Below are 20,384 nucleotides of genomic sequence, written 5' to 3' on the forward strand. Positions count from 1 at the left end.
AAAGCGACATGGCCATGCCTCATTTCAAGTGGGTATGAAAGTGCAATCTTACAAATGCCTAGAAGGAAGGCAACCAAAATCATGATAGACAGCAGGAATGATGATTGATAGCATATCTCTCTTTGTGATCTGAAGGTTCTGTGTAGCCAGTTATTATTGACTTTTTAGCTGCTTGAGGTTGATTCTGTTGAGAAAATAAAAGGCAGAAGCAAAATTTTTATGGCCCAGATTTTAGTTTCATAAAACTGAGTTTAGATGTTGTTATAAGTGGAAGAAATGCTTCTTTTTACCAGAAGAAAAATTTAAAGTTATATTTTTACTTAAATATTTTTATTTGATTATAATTAAGCTGACTATTAAGGTAATGAGTCAGTTAAACCAAAAGCTAAGCAAGCTAGACCATTAAAATTTATATTTTTTATTTAAAAAAATTTAAATCACCCATTCAGTATGTAAATACGTGCTCAAATAACTCAAATAACACAGAAGTTTTATTACATAAAAATACAGACTATCCCTTTTCTATTACTGCCCTCCAATTTTTCTCTTACCTGGAGTTTACCACTATTATTTTCTTAAGCATTTTTCCATACTGCTTGTGCATTTATATAATACAAAACATAGATACACAGGCAACTTGCTCTGGCTGTGTAAAAAGCTAATTTTGATCATTGTTTCATATTGATATATGTATATATCACATATACATTGCATTCCTTTAACGATGCATAATATGTATTTAAAATATTAATAGATACTGATTTTGAGCCCTCCTAAGTTGCTGAACAAATTTATTTGCTCACCAACATTATACGAGAATGCTGTTTTCTCTTCACTCTCACTATAACTATGTATGATTTTTTTAATATCAAGTCAGAGGGGCAAATGACATCTTATAATTTTAATATTAATTTTCTTGACTGTTAATAAGGTTGAGCATCTTTTTTTTTATACTTACTGGTCATTTTCATTTTGTTTTCATCAGTGGATATCATGCTGAAATTGTTTGCCTATTGGATTTTTAAGTTTTTTCTTATTAATTTGTAGAAACACTTTAAATATTGCAAATATGTCTTTCCCTTGTTAAATATGTTGAAAATATGCTCTCCCCATACCCTGGCTTTATATTCTCTTCTATTTTATGCACACGCACACACACACACACACACACACATATTCTAGCACATACATATATATATACACACACACACTTATATACACACATGCACTCATCTGAGTGTCAAGATATCGGTAGTTGAGTGAAGTACATTTCAGAATCTGAATAAAGATCCTTTTTCACTTGTCAGTTAATGGAGGTTTTGGTTACTAAAATCCTTCTTCCTATGAGTGTTTAAGGAAGAAGAGGCAATGAGAGTAGGATTTCTAGACTTTCCGGAAGTCATATAGAGCCTTGTTCCTGTTCCACAAGTCTTAAATCTTGTACAGGATCCTCTATGGAGAAACTCCTCCTATCTCAGAAAATTACACTCTAGGCCCAGAAAAGTTTGTGTGATGTCTGTGCATGTGCATGGGCGCAGGTGAGGGTGCAGGAAGCATAAGTGGGGGAGGGCATGTGTGGCTTAATAATAGTAACCAAAGAAACCAAAATTAAAACTATGTTTCACTTTTCAAATTGGAGAAGATTGGCCACGTGCAGTGGCTCACGCCTGTAATACCACCATTTTGGGAGGCCGAGGCGGGCAGATCACCAGGTCAAGAGATAAAGACCATACTGGCCAGCATGTTGAAACCCCATTTCTACTAAAACTACCAAAAAAAAAAAATTAGCTGGGTTTGATGGTGCACACCTGTAGTCCCAGCTACTCAGGAAGCTGAGGCAGGAGAACTGCTTGAGCCTGGGAGACGGAGGTTGCAGTGAGCCGAGATCACGCCACTGCACTCCAGCCTGGCAACAGAGCAAGACTGCATCTAAAAAAAAAAAAAGGAGAAGATTGAGAGTCATCTGCATTGAGAGGAGTTAGATGCTCATGTTAGATTCAGGGAGTGCTGATGATAATATAGATTAATTCAGTATTTCCAGAAAACAATTTGATTATTCAATTTTAATGTGCACACATGTGTTAGATTGTGGGAACGTAGCCTGCTAATGTAATTAGAAAGCAGTGTGACCAATATTTGTCTGCAGGAAACATCATCCTAGGATCATTTAAAATAATGACAATGTTGTGAAAGGGAATTAGTAACAACACAGGATTAATTTTATTATTGAATAGCCATTGAATGGAATATTATGCCATCATTACCATAATTTTTGAGAATTCCTCAGGCCCTTGGGAAAAACTCGTAATGTAGTCCTCAACACAGAGGCAAACTATGAAACTACATAACAAGTGTGTTTGTATATAGAAAGAATAGGAAATACTCTAAAGTATATTTTTTAGTATTTTTACAGTGAGCATTAGTTACTTTTATAATCTGGGGAGACAAACCATTTAAAACCTGCCCACGAATTTAGAAGGAACAGTAGAGAGTCAGCACATAGAAGGCATTCAATTGACCTTTACTGGAATGATTTTATTTAAAATGAAATAAGAAACTTGTCATAGTAGAATAATCAAATCTTTGAGCTGGGCAGCTTCTTGCAGGTCACTTGGTCTAGTCAGTCGCAGTAAACCAATCTCTAAGCTTAGCCAATTTATATTGGTAGATTCATTACCTGTAACTGCCTCTGGACCATGCTGATTTGCTATCTCCTGCAGCAGTTCTGTGTAACATTGCCTACAGAACCTACCTCATTTGGATCTTTATATTGCCTCCTCCAAAAGGTACTCTTGTTTAAAAAAAAAATTGTCTAAAGGTACTTTTAAAAAAGAAAATCCTAGGTTGTTAATATTTTCAATATTAAACTACTCTAAAGTTGCCAACAATTGAAAAAAAATTCCAAGTTCAAGTTTTTTGAGTATTGTTTATAGAAGTAGTATTGTATGTTTGAGGGTTTGGTTCTGTAATCAGACTTTCATGAGCAAGTTGCTGTGATGAGTTTCCTTGTATGTAAAATGGGATTAATAATAATACCTGCTTCATAGGGAAAGGTTTTTTAAAATTAAATTTGTTAACATATATGATATGAAGTCTTGGACTACAGTAAAAGATTGATAAATGTTATTTAGAGACTTCTGTTTTCAAGACAAGACAGAGAAAATATACTTCCTGCCAAATACAATAAAAAACCTAGGATGTTGTATATCAAACACACATAAGAAGACTGAAAGGTAGAGCGAAGGTCAACCAGCTAGGAAATTTGGGGATGTGAGGAATGGCATGGCCATGAGTTCCCTGGGTTTTCTTTTTTTCTTTCTTTTTGTAACCCACACTGGGTTCTTAAGAAGCTAGCAACCGAGAAGCACCAATAGGCACAGATTTTAAAAAGCCCCAATAAAAACTTTCTCTCTGTGACTACAGAACCAAGAAAGGGACAGCATGGCAAGACAGAAAACTTTTAGGTGAGTGCTGTCCTAATCCAGCCAAACACTCCAGAAAAATAGTGTGGCCTCAATTTCATCCTTACCAGTAAAGACCTGCTGGAGAGTCTAGATTTCTGCTCTTGCCAAGGTGTAGCAAGGTGCCCCAGACATTGCCTCCTCCCTTGGTGGGGTCAGATTAGTTTATGTGGGGAGCTGAAACTTTCATTCTGGCTAAGGTAAGGAGGTAAGAAGGTCCTCCCACCCAGCCATGTGGGAGGACATGAAGGGTATGGGGGAGCAGTCACAAAGTGCCCTTCTCCTTTCATCTAGGATGAAAGGTTGTAAAAACCTCTTGGGAGCTTGAATTATTACCCTGACCCATCATTCATGAGCCATCCCCCAGCTGATGTGGTATCAAGGGAACCTGGAGATTAATTGGGACTTATACCTGTGCCTGGTAGTAATGAGGTGGCTCCCTGCCCACCAGCACAGTGTCAGAGAAGACCTGCTAAAACAGAAGATTTAAATCAGATTATTATTTTTGTTTATTTTTTAATTTTTATTTTTATAGATTTAGAAGGTACAAGTACAGCTTTGTGACATGTATATATTGCATAGTGGTGAAATCTGGGCTTCAGCATAACCATCACCCAAAGAGCGTATGTTAAATCAGGTTATTCAGTAATCTGCAGACCCGAGATGTAATATAAGACCCGAGATGTCTAGATATGATTTACTCATTACACAAAGATCCAAAAATTATGCGTTATGCAGAATCAGGAACATTTCACTCTGAATAAGAAAAACAATCAATGGGTGCCAGCACTGAGATGACACAGAGTTTGGAACTACCTGACAAGTATTTTAAAGCGGCCATCATAAAAGTGCTTCAAGGAACAATTATGAACACATTCAAAACAATTTTTTTAGAAAGTTTCCATAAATAAGTAGAAATCATCAGCAAATAAATGAAATATATAAAAAATAACCAAATGGAAATTTTAGAACTTAAAAATACAATAATGATAATGAAAACTCAGGAATGGGCTCAACAGCAGAATGCAGATGACAGAGAAAAGAATCAATTGAACTGGAGCAGAGAAAAAAAAGTAAAATCATCTATAAATGAATGAGTGAATATGATGTTGCCAACTATAACACCAGTTTAGACATCTAGACTTGGGTTTCAGGTATGGCTTTCTCCAATTCCTAACCACGTGCCCTGGGTATTCTTCTTATCTCTATTCTCTTGACTTTAAAATGGAGAGTAAAAACTTCCCTAGTTACTCTGTCTGGGTCCTAAATCCTATGCTTCTTGAAAGTTTAGTAACATTCTCATTCATTCATTCATCAAACAAATATTGAGTGACTAATACATGGCAAGTGCTGTATATATTCTCCTTGTAATCTTAGGATCTAAAACAGTGTCATATTCTTCTTGTAGTCTTTAAGATTCTTTTTAAAGAGTCTCTGCATTCAGGTAGATTACAGTGTAATGAAGGAAACATCTGAGTGGAGCAATGTTCTAAGTTAAGCTGTGTGGTAAGTGCTATGGTGGAGAAACATACACAGGTACACAGGGCTTTTGAACTACTTGGGGAGGGTGGTGGTAAAATGAAGGACAGCCACAGAAGTGGAAGCTGACTGAATTCAAGGAACTGCAAAGTTTGTAATCAGTACAGCTGGAGTTGTAAAGTTGGATGAGTGGAAATGAAACAGAGTAGATCAATGGGTTTTGAATGTCATCTAAAGCAGGGGTCCCCAACCCTAGGGCCATGGACTGGTACCAGTCTGTGGCCTGTTAGGAACTGGGCCACACAGCAGGAGGTGAGCAGCAGGTGACTGAGCAAAGCTTCATCTGTATTTATAGCTGCTCCCCACTGCTCACATTACTGCCTGAGCTCCAACTCCTGTCAGATCAGGGGTGGCATTAGATTCTCATAGGAACACAAGCCATATTGTGAACTGCACATGTGAGGAATCTAGGTTGCATTCTCCTTATGAGAATCTAATGCCTGATGATTTGTCGCTGTCTTCCATCACCCCAAGATGGGACTGTCTAGTTACAGGAAAACAAGCTCAGGGCTCCCACTGATTCTACATTATGGTGAGTTGTATAATTATTTCATTATATGTTATAATGTAATAATAATAAAAATAAAGTGCACAATAAATGTAATGCGCTTGAATCATCCTGAAACCATACCCTTCCCCCACCCCAGTTCGGTGAAAACATTGTCTTTCATGAAACCAGTCTCTGATGCCAAAAAGGTTGGGGACTGCTGATCTAGAGGTATATAGTTTTTATCTTGAACTTTAGAGAAATATATTAAATAATTTTGAGCACTATTTGAAATATTTTTGTTGACATATTTACATAATATTTACAATGAACAAAGCCATTATAGCAGCATATGGAGATGGCTTGAGTGAATGGGGTCAGGTCTAAAACAGGGAGATTAATTAGGATGCACTCATTGTAATCAGTGAGAGAACCAAACCATTACAGAGACAATAAAGGCTCTATAAGATGTGACATTACATATAAATGAATATGGAGAGTGAGGGTACAAATCTGACTTTGGAGTTTCTAATTCAGGCCACTGGATGCAACATAGTTCCTTGAAATTTAGAAAACAGGAGGAGGAGCAAGTTTGCAGTTGTGATGGAGCTGTGGGGGTGGGGGTGGAGGTGGAGTGAAATGAGTATAATTTTAGACAGGTTATTTTTTTTAAGTAGAGATGTCCTGCAGACTTTTGGCTATAAGGTATGGAGCTCAGAAAAGAAGGTTAGGGCTGGAGATCAAAGTGGAAGTTGAAACCAGAAGAGTATAGGCATCATCTAGGGAGAAACTGTAGCGTGAGCTAAGGGATGCATATGGAACATGAGATATCACAGCCAATAAAAGATGAAGCAGAGAAAACAAGATGCAACAAACATATTGAAAAAGAGCTGGCAAAGAAGTAGGAGAAGAATAATGCAAATAAATGACAAAGTAAATTCTGTGGAATTGAGGGAAGCCCCTTTTTTGGGTAAAATATCATGAACATAATTGAATATTGATCACAAAGAATGGTAGAATAGAAGTCATAGATAAAGGAAAAGAGAATAATGATATTATCAAGAAATATTCTAGCAAGTAAATAGTTTCCCTGCCAGAAATGTTTTTTTTTTCAGGTACAAATATATACATATATATATATATATATATATATATATATATATATATATATATATATAAATGTTTTTGTGGGAAATTCTATAAAACACCTTTCCTTATTTCCACCACAGAATGACAACTTTACCTTTTTGTTGGTGTGTTAGATATTTATGGCCACAATTATACTATATGTCCAGGAACCACAAAAATCTCCGTAAAATGAACTATTAAGAGTTTATTTCCATATGTCTGCAGGTGGTCAAGGCATCAGCTGATCTAGGTTGGGGGTGGTTGGGAGCATTGCTTCAAGACATAAATCTAGCTGGTGTGGGCTCCCTGCTTCTTTGGGCTCTGTTCCCACCTGCAGGTGTTCATTCTTGGTGCCATGTTGAGGAGGGAGCAGTTATATCTGGGAGGCTGTTCTCCTGGAGAAGGTAGTGGTGCAGGAGAGCTAGCCTCTGCTTGCATCGTGTCTGCTGACATTGCATTAGCCAAAGCAAGTACATGGATGAGCCCCAAATCAAGAGAGAGAGTCTCCACTCATGGAGGAAGGGCCGAGGAAAGAGACAAAATACTTTTGCTAAGAGTAGGATGCTGGGAAGAGGTAATATTTTTGAACAAACATGAGATCAGTCACAGGGGAATTCAGAATCATTATATAAATTAATTCTGTGCTATGCTGTAGGTAATCAAATTTGCTATTATTGAAATACATAGGGTCATTTGACTTTGATTAAATGATTCTTCCTCCTGTTGCTTTCTGTGGCTATTATTATTATTATTAATTATTATTATTATTATTATTATTGTTATTTTGAGACAGAGTCTTGTTCTGTCACCCAGGCTGGAGTGCAGTGGCGTGATCTTGGCTCACTGCAACCTCCACCTCCTGGGTTCAAGCAGTTCTCTGCCTCAGCCTCCCGAGTAGCTGGAATTTCAGGCACCTGTCACCATGCCTGGTTAATTTTTTGTATTTTTAGTAAAGACAGGGTTTCACCATCTTGGCCAGGTTGGTCTTGAACTTCTGACCTCGTGATCCACCCACCTCAGCCTCCCAAAGTGCTGGGATTACAGGCATGAGCCACTGAGCCCGGCCTCTGTGGCTATGATTTTTTAATGCTGCCACTGTATCTGTAGCTGCTTTTAATCCACTGCTTCATTTCACACAGGGCTCTTTGAGTGAATACCTGAAAGTGATACTCAGCTATTTAACAAGAGCTTTTTTATTTACTTCAATATATTTTCCTGTTATTTTGCATTGTTACTATATTTGGTAGTCTGACATTGGAAGAAATGGACCATTACTGTACTTGCATATTTTATTCTAATTCCCATTTTACTAAAAATTTGGCATATGTAAAGCCTTTTCTTTTAGAAAAATGAGTTATATTTCCTTAAAAAATTATTCCATGTATCTACATGGTTTCTGTGTTTTCGAAGGAAAACATTGATCGATTAAGAGATGAAAAGCACTGAATTGCAAAGGCTTTCAAAAATAAATATTTTATATGCATGTCCCTTCTTTATTCAAATTATGAAGCATTTCAAACATGCAGAAAAGAGCTTATCTATTCTTTGTGAAATTGTAGGCATCACATTTAACTGAAATAAAAAATACTTATAGCTCTTTCAGAGCAGAATAGAATTTTTCGGTAAGTTTTTCTATTTGCAGCAGGTACCAAAACTTCAGTCACACATCTGCCATTTGCCCTTTCACAATCCCCAATGCCTCTGCACTGCACTTACATACCATTTATTTCATCTATGTAAAAAGGCTGATTTTGGTGCTCTATACCCTAGTTTTATCCTAAGCAATAAAATCCACAAAGTCGCCAGCTGGAAGTGTGAGGTATGTATTTTTTTAGTGCACATCAAAATAAATACATGCTTATTAAAATAAAAAAGTATACTGTGTACCATCTTAAATATCTAGTTTACAGCTGTCATTACTTGACATAGAATGCACTAGGAAACATTGTTTTAAGGCCAGCTCTATCAAACTAGAAATATAATAACTTCATTAAGTGACAATATATTTTTAAAGCCATCATTCACCTTTACTTTCCAATTATTTTTCAGGTTTGTGGAAGGAATGCTTAACATTTGTTACAATGCCGTTGATCGTCATATTGAAAATGGTAAAGGGGATAAGATTGCTATCATCTATGACAGTCCTGTTACAAACACTAAAGCAACCTTTACCTATAAAGAAGTTCTGGAGCAGGTAATATCATAAACTTTATATATGTATATATGAATTCATATAGAAATTACTTAAATAGCATACATTCTCATTGTAGAGCCTTCAATTCTCTAATGCATTGAAATATGTTGCCATGCTTTTCTTTTGATACACATTGGAAATGAATACAGATGTGTTAACTCATGTAGACAGTTTTTATAGCCTTCAATTTATGTTTCACAGTGCTAAATGATGCTCATTTTACAGGGAGAGGATGGCAAATCCTGAGAATATGTGTCACTCTTCCTCTGGTCTTTACTCTTCATCCACATTACCATCACCTTTGGCTGCTCCCCAGATCTTGTACTATTGAAACAGTCTTCTAACTGCCTTCCCTGTCACTAGGCTCTGCTCATATTAGATGATCACCAGGGTGTTCTTCCTAAGAAACAACATATTTCTCTATGCCACTTAAAAATCTATTTCTTAAAAAATGCTGTTATTCAGAGAGTAAAATCTAGATTGCTGTGGTGTCTAAGACACTTTGAAATCTGGTCATAACATTCCTTCCAAGCTTCATTTTCCAAAATTCTTGACTATGCACACAACCCTTTCTTTTACCCTAGATGTCTTGTTATTGCCTTAGATACTCCTGGGCCTTTGTAGCTCTTTGAACATGTTCATTCCTTTGGCTTATTTGCTCTTTTGAGTTCTTTCCCATCTGTGCAGTTCTTAGGTGGATCATGATATTAAGTGATGAGTTATGAGATTTTTCTCTTTTATTAACATTAGGGTAGAAATAAGGCCTCAGAAGTAATTATAAAAAGTATTTGGGAATTGTGGACTGTGGGAAAGTTATTCAAGCTCTGTGGAACATTTACTAAAAATGATTTAAAGAGAGGTAATGGTGCAAGGCAGGATTTCTCAACTTTGGCACTGTTGATATTTTGGATCAGATAATATTTTGTTGTGGGTGCTGCCATGTACATGGCACGACATTTAGCAGTATCCCTGCCTCCACCTTAAAGATGCTGGTAACACAACCCCACCTCCCTGAGTTGTGACGTCTGCGCACATAGCTAATGTCTGCTGAGTGGTAAGATTGCCACTGGTTGAGAAACTGAAGTTGAGCAGAGTCTGTCATGCTAGGGTTTGGAGGCATTTGCTTTGACATGAAGGCTTTTAAGATTGTATTCTCTCCTTTTGCTTTTTGAACCCATTTAAGGGTTCCATTCCATTTTTAGAAAGTTTCATCAACTCTCCCTGACTCTTTGAAATCATATTCTTTTTCATCAGCAAGTTCTTATTTTGCCTTGTAAGAAATTTCAAGAAAGGCAACTCAGACTAAAGGATCGCCTTTCCAGTCCTGAGTTGTTGCAAATAAGAGAGAAGAGTTAGACCAGTTTGCTAGGCTGGGTATCAGCCTGGTTGTAGCAACAAATTCCAACCTCAGCTGATTTAAACATAAAAAAAGACCTTATGAAAAGGGTAGACTGAAGAGCCAGGCTTAGAAAAATGGTAAACCCTAAGGGAGAAAGAGCAGAAGTGAGGAGTTAAGAAGAACCCACAAATTGTCCAATAACTAGACTCACTGCCTTGAGTCAATCTTCTAGATTGAAAGACAGAGTAGTAACATCTGTCATGCTGAACCCCTATTGACTCCAGTGGGGATGGCACCAGGTTCAAGAGGCCAAAGAAGAGACCCAGAGCCCCATACAAGACATGGGGTTTTACTGGAGCCTTACATCCAGGGGAGAGGCCACTGGTGGCAGGCTGGGCAGGAGAACTGCACGACTTGCAAAAAGCATGCAGTTTCTATAGCATCTTCACTTAGCACCATCCCCCTAACAGTCTCCATCTGGCAACTTCCATTTAACCTAAAGCAAAGGGCCTCGATCCCAGACGGGATAGGGCTGACATACTCCTCAGAAATAAGGAATGGATGTGTGGATTGGCCACTCCTGGATTTGTATTCCCTAGCTCAGAACTCTGAACACATATTTGGGTGTGCCTGTCATACAGGGTCTTTCTCAGGGTATGGTCAAGTCAAGTCATTGCTGTCAAGGCGTCTATCATACAGCACTAGTTGGCCAAACTTAGGTGACTTGCCTAAACAACCAGGCAGTGGGGAAGAAATATCTTGTCCTCCTTTGATTTAATAGTAGGAACTGGGGACCTGTCTCCCTCTAGGATGCAAACAAGGGGAATTTCAGTCTAATAAGAATGGGGTTCAAATGCTGGGCAGCTCAAGACAGAAAAAAGCAAAATAATGCTGCAATATATCGTTTGGTATTTTTTATTGGTCTGTAACTGAAAACTGTATTTTTGGGATTAAGTATACAGAGACAGCTCTCACACTGGGATGAGTTAGAAAGGCACTCTGTTACCAAATGAGCTTGTTATTCTTACGAGGCTGCATTCCATTATAAGAGATAATGTCGATTTCCTGAAAACCTATTATAATCTATGTTTTGTTTTAGGATTGCATTTTCATCTTAGAAGAGGTTTAGTCTATGATTAAAAATCGTGCCTGTGATTTTGGCATGTTGCTGCACTCTCATGAAAATACTGGCAAATTCTTATTGGTATACAAATACGTAAATTTACTTACATATTGTAAAAACATTACCTATAGCCACATATTTAATTTGATACATAATCAAACATCGCAGTCAGGGAAAAAGCTTTAGAGAAACCTAAAATAAGAAGAATTGTTGACATTCTCATTTTCTTTTGTTGGTTTTCAATTAATTAATTACATAAGTGTATATGACAATTATACACATATGTTTTGCTTAGAAGCTTTTCTGCTAACTCATCTTTCAAACCCTTTCTGTGTTTGTGCTGGTTCCCTGGTTTCAGTTTAGCCTGACATCAAAGTAGTTAAAAGGACTGTTTCTCTCACCTGCTGACAGCCTCTGATTCCCCAGGCTTTTCTTCTCTAAAGTACTAAAGGAAGAACTGTTAGGAAAGAGAGAAGCATTGTGTGCTACTTTGATTACTTGCTTCTGATTCCCTGCGGCCTTTATTTTATTAAGTAGAGAAGACAGAGAAAGAAAGATTTAATGGGTAATTCCATTGAGAACAAACGAAAAGAAGTGCCTTTGTACATTACTTGTTTTACTCTCCCATGTTTCATTTCTACCAGAAGTTTCTGGCTAGATAATACTTGATTAAATTTGTCTGTATTTATTATTTAATTAATGAGCCAACAAGACAGGCTACCTTGTCTTAGTAACATGAAAGATCTGAAAATTTTACAGAATGATTCAGAAGTAGAGGTTTTCTAAAACTATCATTTTTTCTATAGATCTGAAAATATTTTAAATAACCCTTTATTAAGGTTTTTGTACAGAGATTTGGGCCTAGTTCAAGATCCATCATTCACTCAATAAATATTTGTTTTGTATGCCAAACCCTGATAGGAATAAGAAATACAAAGTAAATGAACCCATTTCCTATTGTCAAAGAGATAAGAAAACATGTAAACAGGCAATTTCAATATAACCGAATAAGGGTCATGATAGGGGTTAATGTTATATTCTGTAGGAACACAAGTGAAGGCAGCCAACTCAGCCAGAGGTAAATAGAGTCTAGGGAGATTTCTGGAAGAGGTAATGCCTAAAATTATCCCAATTGCCTACCCTCCGCTAGAAATAATTTTTCCTCCAGATATCTTATGGTCCATGTTACCTGAATGTTACGTTCTCAGTGAGATGTTTTCTGACCATACTAAATACAAATGTTCCTTTCCACACCACTTCATAAATTCATTTTTTCACTTTCTTTTTAATTTAGCATTTATTACTCAGTATCATTCCTTACATTTTATTTGTCTCTCTTTTTTAGTGTCATTTTCTCTTCTAGAATCTAAGTTCCACGAAGGCAGTGACTTTGTATTTGTTTGCAGAATGGTGCCTTGCATGTAGTGAATAGTTGTTGAATGATGAATGAGTCAATGAAAGAATAAATGAATGAAATACTTTTTGAAATTTCCAAGTGACTCTAGCTTCTTTTACTGCAGGAATGTCTTAGATTTAAATTGTACCAGTAATGGAACTGGATTATCTTTCCAAGTAAATTCCATTTCTATCTGTGAAGGATTTTAATTTATTTACATTCAGCTTGGTAGTTCAAGATGAATATATCCTCCTTGGATTTCCCACACTTATAACTCAGAAGATCTGCATTCTAGAGGACATGTATGTTTTTATTGTATTCTTGCTCTTGTTAGCTCTTTTCAAGTTAGTCGTTATATTAAGCCTCAGTGAAATAAAAGGTATGTGTAAGAGTGTATTTTATGTGTATGTATATCTTATATATATAGTACTAGTCATTTTAAAGTATCTTTATTTTCACCATCACTAATTTTATGTTGAATTTACTTCTGTGTGTGGCAAGTGTGCTCTGTTTTTTATTTCAACAATTATGAATTTTTATGTATTTATTCACTAAATAAGAACGTGTCCCCTGAAGGGCATTTGAGCAATTTTCATGAATACATGTATACTGGGAAAATTGATAAAACCAATTATGTGTTAAATTTTCCTGATTTAATTCAAACTGCAAATTCCTATTATCTTAACTAAAGGTAATTTTTTGAAACATAACTATGGCAGTAGTTGTAACTATAAAGGTCAAAAAATTTAGAGGAGAAAATTATTCTGAAATCAAGGGCCATGTCCCATGAGAATTCTTCCTTCCAACCCCTGCCCTGTAGGATATTTTCTTCAAAGTATGTATTCCATCTGCTCAGACATATGTCAGAGTAAGATAATCTGACATTTTTTCATCTGTCATATCAGTATTTCCTTAAGCAAACACTTAAGACACAAAAACCAGGACTTGCAGAAATTCAGCCCTGTCAATGGTTGTCTTTGTTCAGGGGAAAGGATGCAGTGGCTTTTATTATCTGTTTCCTTTCCTTAAATTTCCTAAATAAACAATAAAACCTTCATTTATATTATGGTCAGTGCCACTAAAAAGTGTGTCTCTGTAAGTTAAATTACCTTTTCCATGCTTGGTAAATAGGGGAATGATGCTAGTATGAGATAGAAGTTATAGTCGTTCATGCATTTCTTTTCCTGGCATGCAATTTTTGAACTTTTATTGATATATAATATATATTCAGATAGGAGAACAGATCACAAGAATAAATTTTGTTAGATTTTCACAAACAGAATAATTCCATGTAAGCAACAAAGAAACAGAATATTTCCAGGCCCCCAGAAGCCCTTGTTGTGCCTCTATTTAGTCATCCTCAGCCCCTACATGATTGCTATTCAGACATCTAAAGGTTTACCTGCTTTTGAACTTTATACAAATTGAGTAATACAATGTACTCTTTTGTGTCAGGATTTTTTCACTCAACTTTCTGGTGATGAGTTTCATTCATTTCATTGCAAGAGGTTGTAGTTTGGTTATTTGGGTAATGTCTGGTTGGGACTATTACAAACAATGTTGCTATAAATATGTTTGTACACAAATTTTGTTGACAATATTTATGCATTTGTGTTGGGGACGTGCTTAGGAATGAGATGAATTGTTCGTAGGGTATGCCCACGTTGGACATGAGTAGATAGTGCCAAACAATTTTCCAGAGTGGTTGCACTAATTTATATTCCTATCTGCAATTTATGAGAATGCCAGCTGTGAAAACAGTGTCGACAATTCCAGATCTTTCAAATTTTGCCCTTTCTAGTGAATGCATAGTGGTATTGCATTGTGATTTAATTTTTTTTTCCCTGATGACAAATGAAGTTGAACTTCTTATCCTGTGCTTAATGGACATTTGTCTTTTATTTTGTTTTATTTTAAGTTTGCCGAGATGATATCTCGCTCTATCCCAGGCTGGTCTCAAACTCCTGGGCTCAAGCAATCCTCCCGTCTCAGCCTCCCAAAGTGTTAGAATTACAGGTTTGAGCCACCACACCTGACCAAATGCTGATGCTCTTTTCTGAAATACCATTAATATCTTTTGTCCATTAATTTTTCTATTGGATTGTTAGCATGCCATGTTTTGAAGTTTTGGAGAGAGACATTCTCACAATTAAAGAGAAGACCTTACCAATATTTGAAAACCTTAACAAAAATAATAAAGATTCTTTAGTGAGCTGATGGTGAGTTAAATGATTTTAGGAATCAAAGTTGAGAAGACATTTGCCCCTGTTTAAAAAATAATTAATGTTAAGGTCTACACTCTCTCAGTTTCTACTGGCCATTCTTTGAAAGCAAATTTGGAAATGAAAGCTTGCCAGTAGAATATTATGCAACAGGAAGCACCAGTGCCGGTATTTAAGGATCTATAGAAGATGATGCTGTGTTAATGCATTTATTAATGTTAAAATGTTCTAGTCACATTTAAGTGGTCTGACCCAACCATATGTTTCTGTGAGCTATGTTGTATAATGCAAGTATAATGTATATATTGTATAATGCTTGTGTACATATAATGTACACAAGCAGAAAGGCTTGTATTTCATTTTAAATAGATGAGTATATCCTAAATACTGGCTTAAATTTTTATCAAAATTGTAACTGGAACTTTGGTTTAAAGTACTTTACAACTTACTAAAATTTAGGTTAAATTTTGAGAGGACTTAATATAAAGAAGATAAGCACTAGACAAATTTTAATAGAAAGTATAGGGAATTATTAAATGATGAAACAACAGTTTAGTATTTCCTAGTTTCCCCATTTATTCACAATTATAAGTGTCTAAAGATTATTTCATACTCAATCCAAAAGAGCAACAATACAACCAATCCCTTGAATATTCTCAGACAGATCTTTAGAAATTATATTGTCCATGAAATCAAGACCACTGTTGGAAGTATAAACTTACTTCTTTTCACTCCCCTCCATACCAGAAACTATTTTACCACTCTTTGAAGTCCAGAGCACTTTGCTTACACCTTCTCCTAATGTACTGGTTCATTATTGCTTTTTTAATCCAGTTATTAGGGTACCTACATGATCTTCCTACCAGAGAAAAAGCTCCTTGAGATAAGGGTAATATTTTATTCAGTTTTTCACCTACACAGTAGCTAATGTAGGCCTCATAGTACATGGAGTCATATTATGTAGTGAATTAGTTTGTGAATAAACATTTAATAATTCATTTATAAGAAAGTAAAATCTAATCATTATCTAAGATAAATGATTATTTCCAAAAGTATCACTTGCCATCACATTGTGATTTTTGTTTTTATATATTAGGAATTTTTATTTTTAAACAGGGTGAGAATCTTTCTCATTTTAGTTCATTTTCTGACTTTGAAGGTCTGTGTGCTGTCTCATTTAAAGCCCTGATTAAAATATTTAACTTACTTTGCCATTTTAGAAATTGGAAATCTGGTCCATGGCTTTTATTCTTACATTTGCTTAATGCATTTATCATTCACTGATAGGTTCTTACTAGATTTGAATTATCTTCAGGGTGGCTAAACCCTGGTCTTTTAGAAAGTTATCTGAAAATCTGTAGGCCATCTGCTTTGAATTTATTTTCTTGGACTAGAATGATCATGGTGTGAAATTTATTTATTGAAAACATGCTTGTGGAACACATAATATATATTTGACACTACTAGAGACACCATGGGTTTCAGTAGCGCATAAAATAATCTTTAAGAAAATTGCATTCTAGTTGGGAATATGTACTATGAATAAAAAGATAATACAATATAAATTAGGTATAAGTGAAGAACAATAAAAGGCTAGAGAGGGACTTCGCCTGCCATTTGAGATAGGCTTGTCAGGGAAAGTACTTGTCACTTATGAAATGACATTTGAGCATAGACTGAAATAAAGGGTGGGATAGGAACTATGTGAATATTTGAGTGAAAATTGTATTAGGGCTCTGAAACAAGAGTAGATTCAGACCATTGGAAAAGCCATGAGGACTCAGAGCTCATGAGAAGAGAATGGTAGAAAGTGAGGTTAGGTGAGTATCCAGGAGTCAGATCATATAGAACCTTGCAGGCCATGGTCAAGACTGTATCTAATTCCAAAGATGATGGGAAGCTCCATATTGTCAAAGAAATCACTTTGGCATCTCTGAAGATGAAGAGACTGTAGTAGATAACATTGGAAACAAGGAGATGACAAATGAATCGGCACCCCATAACATAAATCCCCTTAGAACAGCAGTATTTACTTACATGTGGGAAATTAAGGGATAGGATAGATACAGTTTGTGCCGTGAGATTCTGGAAGCTATTCTGCGTATGTTTCTGGTCTTGGATCCCTGGCTACATCCAGTGTGTTTGAAAGAAGTCTGATTGAACCAATTATGCAGCAGTTACCTGTAAATGCCCTGCTTCCTCCCCATGTTTTCAGGTCTTTTGTGAGCATTCTAAGAAATTGTTTCTGTATAATTTTCAAGTAGAATTCTGGGAAAAGAAGATTATCTGTTGTAAGTATTTTAGTTCTATTTTTTTCACATACACACATACACTTTAAGGATGATTTTCATAATTAAACATTTACTTAATAACTGATACACTATCCCCCCCTCCACTCAAATTTTTAAATGTTAGGTCAAAGGCTAAGCTGCTAAAATAAGGACGTGCAGTAAAATAGTGGCTTAATTTTTTAAATAATGCATTTGTCTTTTATAATAATCTAAAGATTATGAGGTTTAGCTTGGCATGACCCAAGATTATGAAGTCTTATTATACCTTCATCTTATAGCTCATTGCCTTCATCTGCATCGCTGAAGCTGTGGCAAAGATATGTATGTCCCAACTCTTGGGAAGGTGGAGGAGGATATAGAGGAATGGACATGCTATTTTAATATCCACACAGAGAAATGTCATATATGCTTTCTACACACATCCCATTTGGCCATCAGCTGCTAGGAAGGCTGGAGAAAGTAGTGTAGGTGGAGGCATCTTGATGGGGAGTTAGGAGTTCCTGCCACAAGTACTCTTTCATTTCACAGGCAAAATAAATATCAGATCTTACATGTAAATAATTGTAACCTGTTAATGTCAATAAATTGTAAGTCCAGGGAAATAAATAATACCTGAAATTGAAGTCTCATAGGTGGCATGCTAGAGATTAAGAACAAAGGCTTCAGTGAGGTATTCCTCAGACACATACTGAATGCTTATTGTGTATTATTTATTGATTTAGGCAGTGGGGCCATAAAGATGAACTAAAACATGATTCCTGAATTTCAGGAATTTATAGTTTGCCCAGTGAGAAATACAAAAAAGCTACTGAATGGTAGTGTGATAATGTAACAACAAAGCTTTGTGCATTTGTAGCATGGAGAAAGGACCAACCTGGCCACAGCAGTTCAGAGAAGGCTTCACTATTGGGGGAACCCACCCCCGATATTTCGTAGGTTCTTTCTAATTTCCCTAAGTGTCGGCCGATCTGAGAAATAAAGAGAAAGAGTACAAAGAGAGGAATTTTACAGCCGGGCTGCTGGGGGTGACATCACATAGCGGTAGGACTGTGATGCCCACCTGAGCCACAAAATCAGCAGGTTTTTACTGAGGATTTCAAAAGGGGAGGGGGTGCAAGAACAGGGAGTAGGTCATAAGATCACATGCTTCAAAGGGCAAAAAGGAGAACAAAGATCACATGCTTCTGAGGCTAATAAAGATCACAAGGCAAAGGGCAAAGCAAAGATCACAAGGCAAAGGGCAAAATCAAAAACTCCTGATAAGGGTCTAGGTTCAGCTGTGCATGTATTGTCTTGATAAACATCTTAAATAACAGAAAACAGGGTTTGAGAGCAGAGAACCGGTCTGACCTCAAATTTACCAGGGTGGGGTTTCTTCCCCACCCTAATAAGCCTGAGGGTACTGCAGGAGACCAGGGTGTATTTCAATCCTTATCTCAACCACATAAGACAGACACTCGCAGAGCGGCTGTTTATAGACCTCTCCCCAGGAATGCATTCCTTTCCCAGGGTCTTAATTATTAATATTCCTTGCTAGGAAAAGAATTCAGTGATATCTTCCCTACTTGCACGTCCATTTATAGGCTGTCTATGCTATATGGCTCTATTCTGCCTGACCCCGCAGGCAGTCAGACCTTATGGTTGTCTTCCTTGTTCCCTAAAATCACTGTTATTCTGTTCTTTTTCAAGGTGCACTGATTTCATATTGTTCAAGCACACATGTTTTACAATCAATTTGTACAGTTAACACAATCATCACAGTGATCCTGAGGTGATGTACATCCTCAGCTTATGAAGATAACAATATTAAGAGATTAAAGTAAGACAGGCATAAGAAATCATAAGAGTATTATTAGGGAAGTCATAAACGTCCATGAAATCTTCACAATTTTTGTTCCTCTGCCGTGGCTCCAGCTGGTCCCTCCATTTGGGGTCCTTGACTTCCCACAACACTTCACTGTGGAGGTGATGTAGAAGCTGGGTCAAGTAATAAAAATAGAAGTGTGTGCCCCACACATAGGTGACTCTTCCACAGGTGTCCCCTGAAGGTCTGCAGAAGATTTATCCAAGAGGTGGATTTGACATAGTTAATAATGAAAATGTGCACCCTGAGAACAAAACCAACTGCTTTTGTTGGCTTAAGTTCTAGGACAACAAGACAAATTAAGTAGGAAACAATATAGAAAGATTGTTGGAGAATAAAAGAAGGAGACAGGCAGTCTAAGTTTAGTAGGAAGAGAATAGAAGAAGAAAAAAAATGTCCTTACAAGTGGAAGTGAGGAGAGCTGGTCACAATGAACACTTGTACCTGTTATACAGCAATGTAAAGACAGCTGAATGCATCAACAATTTTCTGTTTCTGACCTTTAAAAATTAACATATGAAACTATAAAATCATTTAATCTAGCACAATTTTCATAACAAGTAGAGGATAAAGCTAACTAACATAAATTGAGGACACTGAGTGGCTAAAGTGGTGCAAATTAATATATTAGAATCACACTTTGAGTATATAAGACAAAGTATTTTTCATATAAGGTTTTCTGAAATAGATAAATACATAGCTATGAAAAATGATGCCACTAAATTATTTTAATTCATTTGGAAGTTTTATGCTCACATTTGTGCACTGGGTAGATATATGTAATACTTAAGTAAATAAATCTGAATAAATCAATATAGGTTGCATTCATTAGAATTATTATCAAGATTAGAGACCTTGGAGATATTGACTGTTCATTTTCTCATGCCAACCTTGACTTAAAAGCATTTCATTTCCATTACAAAGCTGAATAATATTAACTTTATCATGTATAGGTTTTATGGGAAATTTGATATATTTTAGAATATTTGTCATAAATTCTTGGCACATACCATGATCTATGTTTGTTTTGTTTATTAGTTACTAGTGTATGCACTGTATTTGTGAATTTTTCTTCTCTTTAAATGTGTACAGCTCCTTTGGTTGAGCGATGTAGATGTTGTTAAAACTGACCCAGCTATTGCAATGATCTCATGTCTTTGTACCATTCCTGGGATATTTGGCAAGTTCTCTATGAGACCTTCACCTATATTGATTGGCTTTTGAGATGTATTGATCAAAGAAACTGTAAAGGTTAACAGGAACATTGCCCAATCCTGGGAAGTGTGGTTGGTGTAGTCAGGGTAGTTGTCATGTTTTATGTACTGCCGGTGGAAGTGCTG

General features: G+C 36.3%; 1 protein-coding gene and 1 long non-coding RNA gene across 11 annotated transcripts in view; one reads left to right on the forward strand and one right to left on the reverse strand.

The window, feature by feature from the left end:
* ACSS3 (acyl-CoA synthetase short chain family member 3) overlaps positions 1-20,384 on the forward strand; it is a 183,340-nt gene that overhangs the window by 23,025 nt on the left and 139,931 nt on the right. For all 6 annotated transcript variants that reach the window (XR_944720.4, XM_047429549.1, NM_001330243.2 and 3 more), the window contains exon 2: positions 8,665-8,809. Coding sequence is in view for 4 of the 6 variants with exons in the window: in NM_024560.4 (NP_078836.1) it covers positions 8,665-8,809 (145 nt within the window). In the remaining 2 variants the exon portion in view is untranslated. The remainder of the gene's footprint in view (positions 1-8,664; positions 8,810-20,384) is intronic.
* The window catches only part of ACSS3-AS1 (ACSS3 antisense RNA 1), a 32,061-nt gene that overhangs the window by 7,098 nt on the left and 4,579 nt on the right, over positions 1-20,384 (reverse strand). Inside the window, exons 3-5 of one of the 5 annotated variants that reach the window (XR_001749229.2) lie at positions 17,071-17,157; positions 3,874-3,930; positions 1,892-1,929 (exon numbers count right to left, since the gene is read on the reverse strand). This is a non-coding gene — a long non-coding RNA (ACSS3 antisense RNA 1). Of the gene's footprint in view, positions 1-1,808; positions 1,930-3,873; positions 3,934-17,070; positions 17,158-20,384 lie in introns of those variants that run through there. The other 4 variants (XR_001749227.2, XR_007063390.1, XR_001749225.2 and 1 more) reach the window with 4 other exon arrangements.

The sequence above is a fragment of the Homo sapiens genome, chromosome 12 (assembly GCF_000001405.40).
Source record: "Homo sapiens chromosome 12, GRCh38.p14 Primary Assembly".
NCBI classification, from domain to species: Eukaryota; Metazoa; Chordata; class Mammalia; order Primates; family Hominidae; genus Homo; species Homo sapiens.